Raw genomic sequence first — 21189 nt, forward strand, 5'->3', positions numbered from 1 at the left:
AGGTGGATGTTCAGCTCCTCATTTGGCCCCACCAACACCTCCCCAGTGAAATCGGATCTCAGATTTGCACCTGCCTTATTGCCTCTGCTACATCTTGCAGACGCTACCCTGGCCGGGGAGTCAGAGGTGCTACGGCCTGATGGGCAATGAAAGATTAGCTCCTTGGTCAGCCTCACTGATCTCATCAGGCAGGGAATTCTAACAGTGCCGCCTGCTTTCTCGGGATGTGTATGTGTAAAAGAGTGTTTTCCTACTTGGGCCTGCTGAAACCTCAGTGGGGTGGTGCTGCAGTTTTTCCATTGCTGCAGTTTTTCCATTTTCTTTTTGGCAGTACCCTCCCTGTTGCCTGGAATAGGGAGGGTATTGCCAGAAAGATTTTCAGTTGTTAGCCTACCCTTTTCCTGGTCTTTTGGCTGAAAGAACAGGTTTTTCTTGGAGCTATTTTTTTTTTATTTGTCTATCGGTGCCAGGTTGAAGGCTTTTGAAGCACCTTATTGGGCATATATGGGAGACAATAAGGAAACCCAGGAACTTGCCTCTCAAGTGCCGAAGTCCCTATGCAGTGTGCCATCTTCTTTCCATCTTGGCTTCCTATGTACGTTTTTGTGTCACGGTCAAGGATTTTTAGTCTTAAGGAAGAGGACCTGGAAGGAGTGGGGCTGCTCCATCTTGACCAGAATGAGAAGTCTGTGTGTGCATGTGTTTAATATATAATGAAAATTCTAAAATCTGTTAACACCGTTTTGTATAATAGTAACATATTTTAATATTTAAAGAATAAACAATAATTTATTCTTCAAATATACTATGTATCAGGCACAGTGATTGACCCTTGGGTCTGCAGATAGGACTGAGACATAATCCTTACTTTCAAATAGCTGATAGTTTTGTAGAGTTCAAAGACCTGTGGAATCAATTTTAATTTGCCCCATTATACTCAGATGGAAACCACTCACAATTCTTTTAGAAATAAAAACAGAATCTAGCTTCATACTACCTGGCTGGTAGTATTGTGGGAGTTTCCTCCCCTCTCATTGGTTGAGATAAGCCTCCTTTGGTTTATGAGGTACTAGGCAAATGAGGAAGTGGTCTAGTGCTTAGTGCCTTGTTGTTACTCTGGTTACAATTAAACCCTTTGCCAGGAGCTGCCATCCAGTGGGTAGTGCTTCCCTGGCCCCAACTCTCCAGGCTATGGTGCTTAGTAATCAGACAGGTGGAATCTCCGCAAGTACCACAACTGTCAGAAGTCCTGAACACCCCTCTCTGCCTCATGCAGAAGCTGTGGTCCCATGATCCTCCCACTCCTGGAGGAACCTTAACTCTATTGGATGGGAAGTTCAGCTCTACTGCCTTTGTGAGTCTGGGCTTTATAATCATAAGGGCTGTTAGTTCTCTCCATGGGCAGGAGAAACTAGATCTCAGGGATACAACCCCATGATCTCTGAGTTCCTTTGGAAATTTGGTTTTGATGATTTGGGAATGCCCAAAAGTAGAACATTTCTGAACTTTCTCCTTGATGGTAGTGGGTGATAATGGTGATACTGTTTTTTTAACTCATGTGTGTTCTAAGCATTTTACTTGTATCTTCTCATTTAATCCTAATAGCAACCTCAGGAATAAGTGATATTATTATATCTGATTTTCTCCGGAGGAAATTGAGGCACAGAGAAGTTAAGGAACTTCCCTAAGGCCACTCAGGTAGTAGGTGGTAGAGCCAGGATTCAAATGCAGGCAGTCTAGCTCAGAGCTGAAGTTCTTCTTACCCTTCTTTCAGCGACGTGACAACCTTTGAGTTTTACTTTGCTTTTCTATTATTTGCTTGAAATTAAGATTGATGTATCTAAAATAAGTGTTCTAGGCTTCTAAAAAGTGTCACACAATTAAATGTTACTAAAGTACGTTTCTAATTAGAAAAGTTTTTGTTTTCTTTCTTATTAAACCACATAGATTTGGCAAGAAGAGTATAAAAAATAACCAGTAATAGGTTACATTTACAACTGTTTGGAGTATAGTCCTTTAATAATCAGATTTTTTTGTTCGTTTTTGTAAGTAGGAAACAATGATTTTGTTAGAAATCTCTGCTTTTGGCCAAGTGCAGTGGCTCACACCTGTAATCCCAGCACTGTGGGAGGCCAAGGCGGGAGGATTGCTTGAGCCTATGAGTTAGAGACCAGCCTGGTCAACATAGGGAGACCCTGTCTCTACAAACAGTACAAAAATTAGCCTTGTGTGGTGGCACACAGATAGTAGCCTGTAGTCCCAGCTACTCAGAGGATAAGGTGGGAGGATCACCTGAGCCTGGGGATGTCGAGGCTGCAGTGAGCCATGATCGAGCCACTGCACTCCCGCCTGGGTGACAGAGTGCAACTCTGTCTCAAATAATAATAATAATAAAGAAAAATAAAAGGAAATCTCTGCTTTTTTGTTTGGTTGCTTAGGGCTCAATAAAAAATTTAACCAGATTATTTCTGATTATGTATATCTATTATATATCACATTTTGTTATACATTTGTGATCATTTCTATTGTTTTTACATGTCTTTGTGTTTAAATACAGGTAGTAGAATAACTAGAAGGATGTGACTCACACGTCATTATGTAAATATTATCCATGCCAGTACATTTAAATTCTATAGGGACTTAATTGTAAAGCAGTTATAATATAGCCGTGTTCCTCTGTTGAGAAAAGATTCATACTGCCCTTTACCTTGCTTTTTCAGTGAAAATGTTTAAGTTTTTTCGTTCATTTGAAATGTAGAATCAAAGTTTCATTTACATGCATATTCTATGTACTTGGTACTATAATCTTAGAGTTTGTTCTATTCTTTGTAAACACAGAATGTGAATATAAATTTTCTGCCATGTTTTGTTAGGAATAATGTATCTCTCCATTAATTTGCATGTTTTCATACCATTGACTCTTAAATTTCCATGAACACTAGCCCACAATGTGATTTATCTGAGGCAGATTTTTTTTCAAATTCATATTGATTTATCTTCCATGCCACTTGAATACATTTTGTTGATATAATAAGATTCTTTGCTAGTTCTAGCTCAAGAGAAACCACAGGAGTGAACTTTAGAACTTCCGATTAGTTCATTAAATAGACATTTGGTAACACACCTACTCTAGTGAGTCCTGTTGGTTGTTTGGGGTAAAGGGTGAGAAGGGCATGATCAGTGATTACAGAGTGACCACACTCCAGAAAGGAAAGGCTTATTATGGTGGCACAGAAATTGGGGTGTACTCTCTGCCCTGGAGGTATTCATGGCTGTCAGAGCATGAAAATGTAAAAAAACAGGTTATCCGTTTGAAAACTCAGGTGGTTGGTTCTTTTAACAAGATAATATTTGTTTTTACTTTCTGCCATGTTTAAGTTACATATCTTCTACTTCTTCTTTTTTTTTTTTTTTTTTTTGAGACAGAGTTTCCCTCTTGTCGCCCAAGCTGGAGTGCAATGGTGCAATCTCTGCTCACTGCAATCTCCGCCTCCCAGGTTCAAATGATTCTTCTGTCTCAGCCTCCCTAGTAGCTGGGATTACAGGCGCCCGCCACCACACCTGGCTAATTTTTGTATTTTTAGTAGAGATGGGGTTTCACCATGTTGGCCAGGCTGGTCTCGGACCTCCTGACCTCAGGTGATCCACCTGCCTCAGCCTCCCAAAGTGCTGGATTACAGGCGTGAGCCATTGCACCCAAACAAGTTACATATCTTCTTTCTTTGCCCAGCATGTCCCTTGTCTCATTTCTTATTGGTCACTGTAAGTTTCATCAGAGGTATTTAGAACAGCTGAACTGCCTAACCCATCCATCACATCCTTTTGGTGGGGGCCTTTCTGCTAGGTCTCAGGGGCACAGAGTTAAGTGAGGTACCTACCCTCATGGATCTTAATCACCGTCTGGCTGGGAAGTGAGGCCGCATGGCAAAGCATAGATTCCAGTGCAGTTGTGGTGAGTGGTTTGCTGGAGGTGTGAATAGGGTCTTGGGATCACGAAAAGAGGAGTACACAAAACAAGCTGGGGGGATCCTGCAGTGCTTCCTGCAGGAGGGTTTTGAAGGAGTAAAAGGAGTGAACTAGAAGTAGAAGGGCTGGCTTCTTGTCATTTCAGTAAAGCTAAAACATCACCTCCTTAGGTACTGCACCAGTACTCTATTGAATTGTCTGTTTTGTTACCATAATCTTGTTCTGTTATTTGTTTCCTTGTTATATGTCTCTTCCCTCCAGAATGTAACTTCTTTGTATTCCCAGTGCCTGTTACATAGTAGGGGCTTGAAAAATGTTTATTGGTTGAATAAATGAATGAATGAATGAAGAATGAATGCTTGAGGCAGAGTGTGAGCAGATAAAAGCAAGTGTATGTGAAGGCTTAGTTGAGAAACTAACTGCAAATGATTAGGTGTGACATGAGCAAGGGAGCTTTTCCTTACAAATTAGGAGGTAAAGCATGGAATTAGAATGTTATCCTGAAAGCCTCCAGGCTGCATGATATGTAATGCAGCATTCTTTTCCTGAATTCCTCTGATTAACAGCTGTGAATATTTTAAATTTTCATTATGTGCAAAACTGATGATCTTACTGAGGCCTTTTAGAGAATATTATTTAAAGAGGATTTTAACTAGAGTGCTTCAGTGATGTTCTTGACATCAAGTAACCAGACACAAACATTTTATTCAGGTTTACAGTGTTCTTTGGCTAATTCTCTTGAAACATTGAATTGCTTGAGACTTACGTGCCACTCTTGTTTCAAGACAACAGACAAAACTTTTGGTAGTTTTGTCTCTTCCTCCTTTTGCTTTAGTGCTCAAGGTGTGGTGTACATTGGTCATCAGGCCAATATGATGGTGATAAACAGTTCCTCTTCCAGGCCTGTGTGATAATACAGTTTAATTGAGCAGACTTTTAGTTACATACGTAAGATAAAATGCTAGATACTTGGATGTAAGACAAACTAGACACATGTTAGGAATAACACTTAATATCTTAAGGAAATTGAACACTTGAACAAAAGGATTTTTAGCAAAGCAATTTTGTTTTTGCGCAGAGGGGTGCCTCTTCGGCCAGTTGTCATGAGAATATACTTGAACAAAGGGCACGAGAGTTTTTATTTTTGACGCGAGTTTTGTTTTTGTATTTTTTTATTGGCCGGGGTTGGGTTGTATAATTTAAATTAAATTTGGTTGGCTAAACATTTGATTTTTTGTTTTTTAGATAGGGTGGGCACTTAAAAGAAAGTAGAGGAAAGGGAAGGGGTGTTTGTAATGAGCTAGAAAGTTTTTTTTTTTTTTAAATAAGGGAAGGAATGTGAGCTGGTATTGATAACGCTTGGTATTGAGGCGTGCCTGGGCATTTAACAAAGGCAAAAAGGAAAAAGGAGAAAAAAGGGAGGGATACTATGAATTAAAGAATAAAAGATTGACCAGATTATCTGAAGAGAAACCTTATTATATTTTACACATAGCTCTTTGAAAAATACCATGGGCTGCTGATATATATCTAATAGCCTTCTCTTTCTCTGCTAAGAGAAAGTAAATCTGGCATTTTCTAGTTTTCTCCACAATGTATAATAAGATATGAGGAGTTATTACAAGCTTAACTAGATGCTTTGAAAATCAGATTTTAGGAAAAGAAAATAAAAATTGTTACTACCTATGTTGAATGTATTTTTCACTTTTCTCTGTAGATATGGTTATGGCAAAACGCTGTGACTTGGAACCTTTTTCAGATTTCAGTTGTCCTATTCTGCTTCCTTGCCTGCTTTGTGAGCACATCTATCAGAAAGTGTGGTCACAGGATTTCTAGAGATAACCCAGCGCAGTGCTTGAATAGGGAGTTTCTGTGTTTCTGTTCTATACGTCACAGTCTTTCACATCTTAGCAGTGTTGTAGCCATTGCGCACCTGAGCACCTTGTGCCTAGGTAGCCCGAAGATGTTATACAGAAACAAATTGCTGTTTGCTTTCTTTGAACTTCAGTGTTTTGTTAAGCTCGTGCCTGTTCTAAAGCAGCCATATCTCTCATGAATTGGAAAAAATTAAACCTTGGTGCATTGGCTTTATTTGCGATTTTAGTATTCTCATTTTCTTATTTTATAAGAAAATGTAAAATTAGGATATTGTATTTGCCAGAATTCAAGACTTATAGATTTTATATACATGCATGCACAATTCATCAGTGTGTTGATGAATAAAAACAAAACAGAATCAAGCATTTTTTTATTGAGCACTAATTTATTACCATTTTTGCTCTACTGTCTCTAACGTCAGCAGAAGGTATGAGTATATACGCATGGGTCTGGCTTTTGTTCAGGCTCTGAGTAAGCAGTGAGCAACTTGCTCTGTAGTAGCTATGCTATTGTTAACTACCTGTACATTGTTTATACATGAATAATTGCAAAAATTAAGTATACTGACTTCGATGGTCTCTACATAACTTACTGAAACAATTGGTCATAAGAAAGGCACAGTCAGTCCCTCCCTTGATAAAGGAATCTCTAGCAAGCTCTGTCACTCATTCAACAGAGCAATAGATTTTTCTCTTCATTTGGACCATGCATTTTTATGCTGATCATCAGTCCATAATTTTAAACTTTGTTTTTTATTCTGTCAATATTCTTGAATCTTTATTTAGCAGGGATAATACTTTTGGAATACCTGATGATGTATCTTTGGTCAATAAATTGGTTTTTGTCTTCTGATCTTTTCTTTTATCATGTCCCCAGGAAAGAGAGCAGGATGAATGCCACTTTGTAGGGTAAATTCCTTGAGTATTAAAGGAGAAATGAAGGACAGCCCATTCAAGTGTCAAAGGAATGTGGGAAGAACAGGCAGAGTTAGAGCAGGCAGGTGGTCAGGTATATATTTCTTGTCATTCCCCGCCCCCATCACCTTAGGGAACTGAAATTCAAGGTTTAGGGGGTGGGTAGGTTGAAGGTAAGCCAAAAGTGAAGGAAGCTTATGCCCCATCCCCCTCTTGTAACTCAGGGAAGAAACAGTCTTTCAAGGCTGCTTTAACACAATGTAAGCAGCCACAGCAGAAGAAAATGTAGCATGCTGTGGTTAGGTAAAGAGGACTGCCAGGCCTCCTTTAGCTGGTGAGTGGCTTCTGAGGAATCCCAAAGTTACTTCACACTCCAGGTAGCTGGGTTGAGAGCCAGTGAACCTGTCAGTGGGAAAGATGTGTTGAGGGGCAAGCTGATACCCACGCTGTAGCTGACAGCCACGCTGTAGCTGACACTGATTGAGCTAGGTCTTGGGTGTAAATGAGATTAAGGAGTCTAGATGTCTTCGGCACCAATTAGAGACAGATCAACTGGGGTAGATCCCTGGGCTCTGGGCCAAGAGAGCACACCTGAGTCTACAGCCTCCTTGAGCTCCAACAGCAGCCTCAGGCCAGTGTCTGGGGTCCACGCGTATAAGGAACCTTGTCTTGGAGACCTGAGAACCTCTACCTTACTACGGTGAAGTTCTGTAACCCCACCCACATCCATACCCACAGCTGCCATCTTGGTAGAAGCAGGGAGAAAATGGAAAAACTTAACATTTACCTGAACAAGACTATAAACCAGAAGGGACTGCACTACCATATAATGCAAGTTAAAGTCAAGTGTGGGGGCTTGAAAAGCAAGGTTAAAACAGTTACAGAAAATTTAAAAGCTACATTTTCTTGGCACGGGTTAAATTTAGTGAGCTATAAATTACTGTTCCTGCCGCAGCAAGATAGTCTTTGAGGATATATTTCCTGCATTTAAATTTAAATTTTGTATTCTTCATTCACAGTGGAACATAGCTTTTAAGTCCAATGATTATCTGAGGTTTAGATTGCCTGCAGTTGGCATGCCTAATGCCATCTTGGTCTCAGTTACTTGATCACTAGAAGTGAAATTTTCATTTTCTCGCCTCAGTGTTATAAAATAAGGACAAAATGAAATAGTAACACAATTGCACAATAACTGCAGTATAGACGTGATGGTTAATACTAAACTGAAAGGCTGTCTGACAGGCATCACTGCCATGTAGTCTTCAAAATTCTCATTCATTTGCAGACAATTTGGTGTGAATTTGGTGTAGACAAGGTGGTTTGAGGGTATCTACATATAATGTTTGAAGATGTGGGTTTTAAATAAAAATGAGATGCATCTCAAATTTTATATGATCTATAAGTATGGAGCTAGACTGTTTTGAAAGTTCACCTTTCTCTCTTTCCATTGAAAATTGTTGGTATTTTCTGCCAGAGGGATTAAGGAAAATTGTTCTCTGAATGTCTCATTTTTCATTTTGATAACTATATTTTACTTTTTGAACATTTTATTAATTACCGAATCTATAATATGAACATAGGGTAGTAAATTTATATTAGTCCTGGAACTATGAGGTAAATTATTTTTAAGTGATTCATCTTGAATTACCCACTTATATACAATAAGATGTACCCATTTTTAGTGTATAGTTCTGTGTAAACTAGCCCTCTTAGTTCATTCTTTGGCATTATCAGCCAGCGTCCCTTCAGGCTGATACTATAATAGTTACAATGGAGCATATTACAAGTACTTACAAAGGATTTCTGGATATGTGGGTTTGTTTGCATTTATCAATTAAGTGGTCCAAGGCTTTTAATATGGTTTTGTTCTCACATTTGCGGCACTCAAATATCAGCCATCCAAGGTGGCCCCAAGTCTCATAGCCTTACTAGATACCTTGACATTATTATTATTATTATTATTATTATTATTATTATTATTATTATTTGAGACAGAGTCTCACTGTTGCTCAGGCTGGAGCACAGTTGCAGCGTCTCGGCTCACTGCAGCCTCAACCTTCCTGGCCCAAAGGATCCTCCTACCTCAGCCTCCCAGGTAGCTGGGACTATAGGTGTGCACCACCACACCCAGCTAATCTTTTGTAGTGTGTGTGTGTGCAGAGACAGGGTTTCACCATGTTGCCCAGGCTAGTATTGAACTCCTGGGCTCAAGCGATTTGCCTGCCTCGGCCTCCAAAAGTGCTGAGATTATAGGCGTGAGCCACCACACCCTTCCGAAACTTTCTAAAGCATAGAAAAGCAGATCTAATATGTCTCCTAGGGAATCTGTCCTTAAAAAAACCGAAATGTGGCCAGCTTACGACTGTAATCCCAGCACTTTGGGAGGCCGAGGCGGGTGGATCACAAGGTCAGGAGTTTGAGACAAGCCTGGCCAACATGGTGAAACCCCGTCTCTACTAAAAATACAAAAATTAGCCGGGCATGGTGGCGTGTGCCTGTAATCTCAGCTACTCAGGAGGCTGAGGCAAGAGAATTGCTTGAACCTGGGAGGCGGAGGTTGCAGTGAGCCGAGATTGTGCCATTGCACTCCAGCCTGGGCAACAGAGTGAGACTCCGTCTCAAAAAAAAAAAAAAAAGAAAGAAAGAAAGAAAGAAAAAACCCAAAATGTATATATTTGCATTCTGTGTTCTTGGCTGGTTGGTTTTTCCTTATGTACCAAGGAATGTCTTTTTCTTTTAAAATTATGGGAGGAAAAAGTGTTAGGCTATGGTAGAATTAGTAACTGATATCCAAAGAGAAGAATGAGCCAGGCCAACAGGATATATGTTTTACATTGGCAACACAATACAGTAAGATGTTTGGACTAGCTGTTCTCCTTTTTTGCTGAGCACATTTTGGACCAGTTGCATTTATTTCTCAACTACAAGCTTGCAGTCTAGTAGTAGAGTCAGACCTTGATCAAGTGATCATGTAAATCTGTAAAGGTGGAACTTTAATGCAAGTTATAAAGAAGAGGCGCTTGCTGAGAGAACACCACAGGGCCTTCAGATCTCATCGAGGAGCCGTGGGAAGGCTCCTCTGAGGAAGTGAGGATTGATTGAGCCAGGATCTGGGGGATGAGAGAGGGTTGAGTGGGCAAGGGAGGGCAAAGCTTGCAAGAACAAAGGGAATAGACCCTAAGGCAGTAGAGAACATGGCAAGGAGAGATGTGACTCAGCAAGCAAAGGAGACCTAGGGAGAGGAGGTGGAAGAGCTACCTGGCCTGCCATGTGGAGCAGCTGCGACGGAGTTGTCAGGTTAGTGGAGTTAGGGAGAATTTTAAGGGGAATGGTGGAGCTTGAAATCAGATTTCCTTTCCCAAGGAAGAACCTGGTTGCTGAGGGGATGAACATATCAGAAGGGCTGTGGCAGTACTGAAGGTGAAAGTACCAAAGGCTTGACCAGGGGTAGGAGGAGCATTCAGGTACAGGACAGTGGACCCATTTGAAAACAATGTAGGAGGCAAAACCCAACAGCACTTAGTGATAGACTGGATGGATTTGGTGGTGCAGACAAGGGAGATGTCAACAGTGATCCCAAATTTCTGGCTAGTGTTTACTGAGATATATGGGACAGGAGACAGGCCCAGGTTTTGTAGGGGAAGATGCAGAAATGGTTAGGCATTCTGTCTGAATATTTTACACTCATACATTCTCATTTTACATCTCAATAAAAGATTCATGGAGGGCAGATCCAGCGCAGAGATGGTAGAAGAGATTTTATGTCTTATTGGAAATAATGAGAAAACAGAGTTGTTGTGTTGGAAATTTATCACTGACTTGGCTTGAAGGCAGTTGTGTGTGTGTGCGTGTGTGTGTGTGTGTGTGTGTGTGTGTGTGTGTGTGTTTTGGAGACAGAGTCTCACTCTGTCTGCCCGGTGGCTGGAGTGCAGTGGCGTGATCTTGGCTCACTGCAACCTCCGCCTCCTGGATTCAAGCGATTCTCACGTCTCAGCCTCCCGAGTAGCTGGGACTACAGGCGTGTGCTACCACGCTGGGCTAATTTTTTTGTATTTTTAGTAGAGATGGGGTTTTACCATGTTGGCCAGGCTGTTCTCGAACTCCTAACCTCAAGTGATCCGCCTGGAAGGCAGTCATTATCTGTACAAAGTCTCTTTGTGAGATCCCACTTCCCATGTCTTCCTTTTTGGCTACCTGCTGTCTCATGTTCTTGATAAAGTATTAGTATTTTCATAAGACTATCCTCTTTTTAGAAACGGTACATGAAGTAAATACACAGTTTTTCTTGTAATGCTTTCTAAATTATAAGAGTTTTCTTAAAGTACTCTTAGCGTACCATTTAATTCTAATTTTGAGCAGGTTAGAGTTTACATCAATGTTTCCTGTAATAATAGCTCCATCATGTCAACCTTAATAGGCAGTTTTGCCAGGTATTTATATATATATATTTTTTTTTTTCTATTATACTTTTAAGTTCTAGGGTACATGTGCACAATGTGCAGGTTTGTTACATATGTATACATGTGCCATGTTGGTGTGCTGTACCCATTAACTCGTCATTTACATTAGGTATATCTCCTAATGCTATCCCTCCCCCTTCCCCCCATCCCATGACAGGCCCCGGTGTGTGATGTTCCCCTCCCTGTGTCCAAGTGTTCTCATTTTGCCAGGTATTGGTATAGACTTGGTGGGACTCCGCTAAATTGTTTTTGGCCTAATGAAAACCATTCCTGAAATTTTTAGGAAAAAAAAAAAGGATATATGTTTTCAGTATACCTTTTGGTATATTTCACTGTCTTTTTTTTTTTTTTTTTGTGAGACAGAGTCTCACTCTGTCGCCCAGGCTGGAGTACAGTGGCGTGATCTCAGCTCAGTGCAACCTCCACCTTGCGGGTTCAAGTAATTCTTCTGCCTCAGCCTCCCAAGTAGCTGGGATTACAGGCCCTCACCACCACGCCAGGCTAATTTTTGTATTTTTAGTAGAGATGAGGTTTTGCCATGTTGGCCAGGCTGGTCTCGAACTCCTGACCTCAGGTGATCCGTCCGCTTCGGCCTCCCAAAGTGCTGGGATTACAGGCATGAGCCACTGCGCCTGGCCATTTCACGGTATAATATTTTAATGGAACCGTATTACAAAAGTTATTATAAAACTAATCATTGTTTTATAAAAATGAGTGTAGACATTTTAGTGTTGTGATAATTTTAATAATTTTTGGAGAATGGATCTTTTAATCTTCTTTTTCAATTAAAATTTTCTTTCATAGCATATTAATCTTTTCAGTAAAGCTTTACCTGATCTCTTCAACAAGTGATCATTCTCAAATTTTTTTTTATTATCATACTTTAAGTTCTGGGGTACATGTGCATAACGCGTAGGTTTGTTACGTAGGTATACACGTGCCATGGCATTCTCACATTTTTAAGGGGGAATGTTTGTACGGAAATACCACAAAATGGTTAAAATGAATAAACTCGAGCAGAGTTTCTTACCCTTAGCACTTTTGACATTTGGGGCTAGGACTGTTGTAGGGACTGTCCCGTGCATTGTAGGATGTTTAGTGGCACTCTTGGTCTCTACTCACTCGATCCCAGTAGCGCCCCCAGCCTATGTGACAACCGAAAGTGTCCCCAGATGTCTTGGGGGGAGCACAGTCACCCCCCAAGGGAGAACTATTGAACTAGATTTAGTTTTTAATGTCAGATACAGATTGTATTTTTTTTAAGTGTTTGAAAAAAGATACATGCAATAGCATATGCTAGTTACATGATTTTTAGTGCACAAAACGATACAATTTATGGGCAGATTCATTCGTAGTGATAAAAATGTGTGGGAATGATACTATCAACTTCAGGATAGAAATTACCTCTGGGTAGAGGGAATGGGAATGAATGAAGTTTTATTTTTGGCATTTTACATTTCAAAAGGCAGGAGATCCACAGCAAATAAGCCAAAATATTATCAACTGTTAAATCTGAAGGGGATATACATTTTTTTCTGTATATTTGCATGATCTTTTTTGAACTCCTGTGGCATATCATATAACACTTGTTATACTTTTTAGCTTTTGTCATGCATTTTTAACTTACTGTCATGCGTTATTACATACCAGGTTGTAGACTTCTATGTATATAAGACAGCTTCATTTACTCACTCATGTCAAACACAGGATACAAAAGAAAACCTTACATAAAGCAGAGGTCCAATAAACATTTGTTAGTTGACTGATTGAAACGCTCTTTTTCTTTGGTATAGATTTTTTGTGTGTGTGATTTGGTCTGAAGTATTGAAATTTAGCAGTAAATCTAACTTTTAGTATTGACAAGCTATGGTAGTTTTCAAATAACAAATAATATAAGTCAAGATCTCTAAGGAATTTCCTGGAGAAATCTAGCTTTTATCACTGAATATCATGGATGGTATTTTATATTTCTATAGTACTTGGCAAATGCATATTAGCTCTGACCTGCTATAGAATGTATCCTGTGCTTGAATTTCCTCCCATTTTATAATTTTACTTATAATGTAAAAATAAATACTTTTGGACTAAGTTATTTTGGAAGGTTTCTACACAGTAAAAAAGATAAAGATGGAAGTAATGAAATACTTGCCTGTACTTTTCAGTGTATAAATATTATAACATATTATTAGAAAACTATTTTGAAATGTTCATTGGTGCTAACATTTCTCTTCAGTGATGTGTGTGTGTGTGTGTGTTTCAGAATCACTTTCTACAACAAAATTTACATACACATGGCTTGCAAAGACAGTATAGCATGATTATGGTTGAGAAATGGCATTCAGAATCAGTCTTCCTGGGTTTAAAATCTCAGCTCTGCTACATCTTAGCTGTGTGATCATGGGACAAATTATGGAACTTCATTAAAACTCAGTATCCTCATCTGTAAAATGAGCATGAGATCTCCTCAGAATGATGATTTGAGAATTAAGTGAGATAATCCACGGGAAGCACTTAGGGTGGGGCTTGGTGCAAGAGTACTTAAAAACAATAACTTAAAATGAAGCTTACTTTTTCTGGGACCATACTGGTCTATAAAGTAGTAGTTTCCCAGCCTGGCCAACATGGCGAAACCCTGTCTCTACTAAAAATACAGAAATTAGCTGGGCGTGGTGGCGTGTGCCTACAATCCCAACTACTCAGAAGACTGAGGCAGGAGAATCGCTTGAATCTGGGAGGCGGAGGTTGAAGTGAGCCGAGACCACGCCACTGCACTCCAGCCTGGGAAACAGAGCAAGACTCCGTCTCAAAAAAAAAAAAAAAAAAAAAAAAGTATCAGTTTCACTTGATCTTAGCCAGAAGGCTGAGAAGCGATAAAGTAGTAATTTCTGTGTTTGTAGGGTTTTACTTATGCTCAGGGAGCAGACAGGATATTTGCAAATAAAACGTGAACAGAAATATTTAAAATACTTTAGTTATGAAGTTATATTCCCTGCTATTTGGATGATGAAATGAAGAATTTCTCCCAAGAAAGCACTTCCTCAGAGAGCAATTAGAAAATGAATTGTAGACTATAGATGGCCCTCCGTATCAGCAGGTTCCACATCGATGAATTCAACCATCTGAGGATCGAAAATATTCAGAAAAGCAGACAAACAAAAACAACTAAAAATACAACAATAAAAAATACAAATAAAAATAACAGTATTACAACTATTTATTTGCATGGCATTTACATTGTACTAGGTAGTATAAGTAATCAAAAGATAATTTAAAGTATATAGGCGAATGTGCATAGGTTATATGCAAATACTGTGCCATTTTATGTCAGGGATGAGCATCCATGGATTTTGGTATCCTCGGGGATCCTGGAACCAGTGGCCCCCTCTATATCCTCGTAGATACTGAGGAATAACTGTTATAACCTTTTGAAATGGCTTAATCCGTGAATAGTAGAATAAAAGAGTATTTTATTCTGTTCTGTTTCATGATACCTGTTGGATATTTTAACTTAGCAAAACATTTGAAAAATAATGACTCCTGCGACTTCCTTATACAGTATATGATCAGTTTAAAGACTTCACTGTTCCAGAGCATAATTAAGTTATATAACTGCATTTTAAAATGACTTAGTAAATTGTATGGCTGTTAATACCAATTAGTTGCTTTGCCAGAATCTTAAGTAAGGCACAATTAATACTGGGAATAAAACAATGACCCAGAGCTTTAGACAGTCAGCAACGCAAGTGAGTTGATGATTATAAGTCTGTCTAGTATGATTCTCTAGTGATTGAGGCTTGATTTTTATGGGGTAGAGATCTTGAGAATATTGAAGGAACTGTAGGCTCTCCAGATATTTGTATTTGTTAGTACTCATAACATTTATTTTTTATTCTCTTTCTGATTTTTTTTTTCCAGCTGGGGAAATTTATTCTGGGAAATGTGAAATGCCTTGATATAGTTTGTTTACTCATGGAGACAGTAGTACAATTCAGGAACCTTTATCTAAAGTTACCTAGTCTCTCTGTTTGTGTTCCAAAGTACATAATACAATTCTAATTTTAAGGTAGAATTAAGGGTGAGGCATGGAATTATCATTAATAAATTACTGATATATTTGATCACATTCTTAGTTTATTGCTTAAGATGTCGGCTTTTAAATACTTCATATTTTAAATAAAGACACTGAAACAAGTAACAAACTATGCCTATCTTGCTAACTACAGCTGGTGACATTCTGTTGCAGACGTTGTGGGGGCAATGGTATGCTTTTATGAATAAATTAAATTCAAAACAAGTTTTTCAGAGTTATTTTTTGTATGTTTTTCTCTTTGTCTACACCTTTATTATATATCGCATCTCAGGGTGGTGGTAGAATAAGTAATAAAGCTTGGCGTGTTACTTCCTACCTCTCCATTAAATACCCACGAAGATGTTAAATACCCATGAAGTTCTGCAGATTAAGAAACTAAACATCGAAGATTGCTAGCAAAGTCCAGGGAGAATTAATTTTATTAGCAGGACTGGGTTGAAAACATAGTCTTGAACATCATGCTGTTCATCCTACTTTGTGAACCCAAATCAGGCCAGATATCCAAAGGGAGTAGGAAATGCCTTGGACCCATGCTCACAGGAACTGAAAAATAAGCAACCATCTCACTGAGGTTAACTATAATCTGACACTGCTAGAGCTGGAGTTCTCACTCCCCTACTAGCCTGCATTAACATCTGCATTTCCAGATCTTTGCAGAGACTAAAATGTCCTAAATATAGTAAGGGAAGAAGCAAAGAAGGATTGGAAAAAGCATGTACCATCCTAGGATTCGGAGTCCCCGTGGCAAAGTGTGGTGAAGGTAAAGGGAAGGGAACAGGCTGTGCTTGGAAATGTGGTCTCCAGAATGCCACGAGGTAAACAGCTAATGAATGGCATGTGCTCTTCTGGCTTACTCAGAGAACCCTGCCCAGGCAGTTTAGTCTCAGACCAGCCAACCCCAATGAGAAGGATGTGTGCTAGCAAGCCAGGTTCTAAAATCAGGCTGGGGTGCATCAGTTCATATTTGAAGTTCAAGTTGAGGCCAAATGCCAGTCCTGGTGGATCTCTTTCCATCTTAGTAAGGATGAGGTTTTTTGTTTTGTTTTGTTTTGTTTTTTGGGAGATGGAGTCTCGCTCTGTCATCACGCTGGAGTGCAGTGGCGTGGTCTCGGCTCACTGCAACCTCTGCCTCCTGGGTTCCAGCGATTCTCCTGCCTCAGCCTCCCAAGTAGCTGGGATTATAGGCACGCGCCACCATGCCGGGCTAATTTTTGTATTTGTAGTAGAGATGGGGTTTCACCATGTTGGCCAGGCTGGTCTTGAACTCATGACCTCGTGATCCGCCCACCTCGGCCTCTCAGAGTGCTGGGATTACAGGCATGAGCCACTGCACCTGGCCGTAAGGATGAGTTTTAAAGGGTGGAGCAGAGAATACACTGAAAAGATATGGGAAGAGAAAACATGGCTGTGAAGATTTACAAGCAACACATGGTTCTGAAAATGACCTTTTCTTTTTTTTTTTTTTTCTTTTTATTATTATTATACTTTAAGTTTTAGGGTACATGTGCACAATGTGCAGGTTAGTTACATATGTATACATGTGCCATGCTGGTGTGCTGCGCCCATTAACTCGTCATTTAGCATTAGGTATATCTCCTAATGCTATCCCTTCCCCCTCCCCCCACCCCACAACAGTCCCCAGAGTGTGATGTTCCCCTTCCTGTGTCCATGTGTTCTCATTGTTCAGTTCCCATCTATGAGTGAGAACATGCGGTGTTTGGTTTTTTGTTCTTGCGATAGTTTGCTGAGAATGATGGTTTCCAGCTTCATCCATGTCCCTACAAAGGACATGAACTCATCCTTTTTTATGGCTGCATAGTATTCCATGGTGTATATGTGCCACATTTTCTTAATCCAGTCTATCATTGTTGGACATTTGGGTTGGTTCCAAGTCTTTGCTATTGTGAATAGTGCTGCAATAAACATACGTGTGCATGTGTCTTTATAGCAGCATGATTTATAGTCCTTTGGGTATATGCCCAGTAATGGATGGCTGGGTCAAATGGTATTTCTAGTTCTAGATCCCTAAGGAATCGCCACACTAACTTCCACAATGGTTGAACTAGTTTACAGTCCCACCAACAGTGTAAAAGTGTTCCTATTTCTCCACATCCTCTCCAGCACCTGTTGTTTCCTGACTTTTTAACAATTGCCAAAAATGACCTTTTCTAACAAACCAATAAAGTTAAGGCATCTGCTTAGTCTCCCAAAAGAAAGCCAGGAAGATATGACCTCTACAGAGAGTGAATAAGCTAAAACAAGGCAAAAAATGCAGAAGTTGGCTGAGATAAGGACAAGTGAAAGAAGCCTAAAATGGATAAAACAAAATTGTTTAGCACTTTCGAACTGATTAATGTTCGTTTACTAAATGTTTATTGAACACCTACTATGTGCCTGCTATTCTAGGTGCTGATGATGCAATTGTGAACTTTGCATACTAAGTACAAAAACTTAGTACAAGACTAAGCAATTATGAAAGATCCAACCTAGAAGTTGTAAGGTTTGTGGTGGAAAATAATAGAAAAATAGGAGTAGGAACAACGTTTAAGGTTGCTATAAGAAGACTTTCCTAATTTCATTGATTTCCAGGTATTATTGATTCAAAAAATACACACACACACACACACACACACTCCTCTAAATATATTCCAAATAATTTAAAATTTTTATTTCAAAGAAAAGGAAAAGTCCTAACAGTATTTAGGCAGAAAAAAAGAAGTGATCTATATTGGAACAAAATCCAAATAGGCCTCATACTTCTTTTCTACTACAAATACCAGAGACTGTCAGGTCATTGTTCCCCATTTGATGCCTTATGTGATAGTATTATAATTTCTTTATGTTAGAAAATGGCAGCCCTTCTTTTTAGACCCTTAATTTTCTTCTTCTTGGAAAAATATCCTAGTATATAGATTTTGTTACAAGAAGACACTTTATTCCTACCTGCATTAAGTTGCTTTAATAAGCATACAGACTCTGGTGTCTGTGATGTGAATGGCATTTTCCAGGGCTTTATGGTGCACTTAAGCTTCCAGTGACTCTGAAGAATAAAAGGTTGCCTTCCCAAGAATTCTGTGCCTATCAAGTTGCCATGTATACGTGAAGATGTTCAAAAATGCAAAGACTTGAAAAATAGGACACTTTGTCAGAAAACCTTTCAAAGATGTGCTCTGGCTGAGCTAAACATGAATGCAAATCAATCACTCAAATATGTATAAACCATACAAGAAAAGGACTGGTGGTAAACAGTGAAGGAAACTGAATATGTAAAAAAAAAAAAAATTATAGCTCATGTATCTATAATTACAAATTAAATTCAACAGTCAAACCCTCCTCTCAAAAATAAATATATTTAACAAAATGGTATAAGAAGAATCAGTGTCAATAACCTCAGATTAATTTAAAACAGTTTAAGGTCACAATACTTTAAAAACTGGTTCTGACATAAGAACAAATCAGTAGCCTATACTAGACTAGGCTAGAGTCCACTAGAAATCTCTGAAAGCACATCTAGTATCTATATGTGAGGATGCTAAGATGTAACAACTAAAAATTTCTGGTAAAGGGTATTGGGAAAATTGATTTAGTGTTTAGAAATTATATTAAATCTGGATTCCCTCAACATGTCATATATTAAAATAAATTACAAGTGAATAAAGATTTAAGGAAAGAAATAATTAAAATATCAAGATACATAAATGCAGATGAATATTAACCATGCTCAGGCTAAGTAAGGACTTTGAGCACAAAAGTAATGGACATAATTACAAAGGCCTATATCAGTAAACTTGACTATGTAATAATTTATATTCAACAACAACAAAACTCTAGTGATCACAACAATCTGGGGAAAAGATTTGTAACAGAATTTGTCAACAAGTTCTCATCCATGAATCAACAAGAAAATATTAACCCTAGTGGACCCGATTTCACTTATTAAAAGAAAGCTTCTCTAATCTCATTGAATGCCAGAGAGGTTTTTTTAAATGATTTTATTTTGCTTTGGCAGTGGGTGTAGAGTAAATATTCTTATACACTGCTGAAGGGAACTGTGACATGACTTTTTTTGGATGTCAGTTTGTCATTATATATTGGGAGCCTTTAACATTCATACCCTTTGAACCAATTATATCACTTATAGAATTTACTCTGTGGAAATAAAGATGCAGATGTTGAAGTATGTTCATTAATAGACTTGTTAAATAGCCATCCATGAAAAATGGTGGTTTTAAAAATAACAGCTTGAAATGTTGCTTACATAATATCAAGTGAAATAAAAACAACATACAATAAGATGTCCAATATTACTACTACCATTTGAGAAAAATTTACTGGAAGAAAATATACCAAAATATTAACAAGGGTTAATTTTGTAAATGTCTTCTCTATATCCTTTTTGTACCCTTTGTATTCTTTTTGTGTTTTCTGTAATGAGTTTATATTATTTTTATAAGCAGTTTGAATACATGTGAAATGTTAAATTCTTTCCAGTATCTTCTCTTAATTGCATGTGTTTTTCACTAAACACTGAATTGGTTTAATGTAGAAAACTTCATCTGTTCGATTTCATTCTTTAAGTAAATACATAAACCATATCGGGGGAGGCAGAGAAAGTGAGTTTTGAGGAGAGAGGATTTTCATGGTATTCTTGAAAGGATAAATAAAAGAATACACATTTTATTTGACCCCCATTAGCCATCTGCTTTATACAGTAAATTGTGTTTATGAGATGCCAGAGAAAAATAACTAATGAATTTATTCAAGGTGGTATAAATGTGCCAGTTACAAATTTAAATTTGTAGTCATATCAGTGGACAGTTTTGAACTGAGTAAGATCTTTTATAAAATCAGACAAAGTTTTAACGCTTAGGATGCAATGAAAGAAATGTATGTGGGAGTCTTTCAGTTAGAATAGAATATAAGATGGAACACTACCTGGAACAATATTCATTTGAGATGTGCGCAGTTTTTCTCTATTCCTGGAAGCTACATCTTTGTTCTGTGAGAAAAGCAAGAGGAGGTTCCTGATATGGTCTGTCCTTTCAGTTATGCTGTAGGTAGATTGCTAGCTAGAGCCATTTGAAAAGGAGCAGGGTAAGAACATGATATCAATGTATTATGGGAGAGTAGCATACATGAAAGAGTCACCTTTGTACTACGTGGGATAATATTCCAGCTGATAATCTCCTGCATTACTTAAAATTGGCAGTTCTTCCTTCCCAATAATAAAATACCTGGAAGAAGGAGTTTCTTTAAGTCAGAAGATCCATTAATGTACAAATAAGTTGTACCCTATACATACAAGTAAGTTGTCTCTACCCTACAATCCTGTTCCTTCATTAAAAACAAAAACACAGTACCTTTAAGAAGTATCTTTTTCCTCCATAATTTATAGCACTTGCCTGGTATTGTGTTTAATTTTAAAGTTTTTGTTTTGATGCAGGGACAACGTTTTATTAAATATTAAAAGATTTGATCTGAAAGTGTCCCCACTTAAAGTAAAAAAGAACAGGCCTGAGTCATTCAGAAGGCTTTTATATGACATGTTGGCTTTGAAGAATTTGTATTAATTATTTTGCCAAAAGCTTTTTTATTCCTTTTATAGACCAGAATTGAATAAAAATTGTTTAGTTTAGTGGTACTTAGTTCTTAGCATTTCCATTTCCTTTCCAGCCCTTGTTTTCTTTCCTCCCAACCAAAAACAACAAAAAAGATTTTCATATTTTCTTTTAAAGCAGAATTCTGTTATTTCTTCTGTTCAGAAGAGATAAGGGCAGGACGAAGGTGATGATTGGTATTTGGTGATGGAATGTTTATCTCACTTTGGATTTGCAGTGGCCATCAATAGGGGCGAGCTGGTGAAAATTAGATATGCTTGTTA

The 21189-nt window shown here is 38.4% G+C and overlaps 1 protein-coding gene and 1 pseudogene across 3 annotated transcripts in view; one reads left to right on the forward strand and one right to left on the reverse strand.

Moving 5' to 3' along the window:
• CDKL5 (cyclin dependent kinase like 5) overlaps window positions 1-21189 on the forward strand; it is a 228022-nt gene that overhangs the window by 117252 nt on the left and 89581 nt on the right. The gene's annotated exons all lie outside the window — the stretch shown is intronic.
• Window positions 13951-14090, reverse strand: LOC124905289 (uncharacterized; annotated as a pseudogene).

The sequence above is a fragment of the Homo sapiens genome, chromosome X (genome assembly GCF_000001405.40).
Source record: "Homo sapiens chromosome X, GRCh38.p14 Primary Assembly".
Classification (NCBI taxonomy): domain Eukaryota; kingdom Metazoa; phylum Chordata; class Mammalia; order Primates; family Hominidae; genus Homo; species Homo sapiens.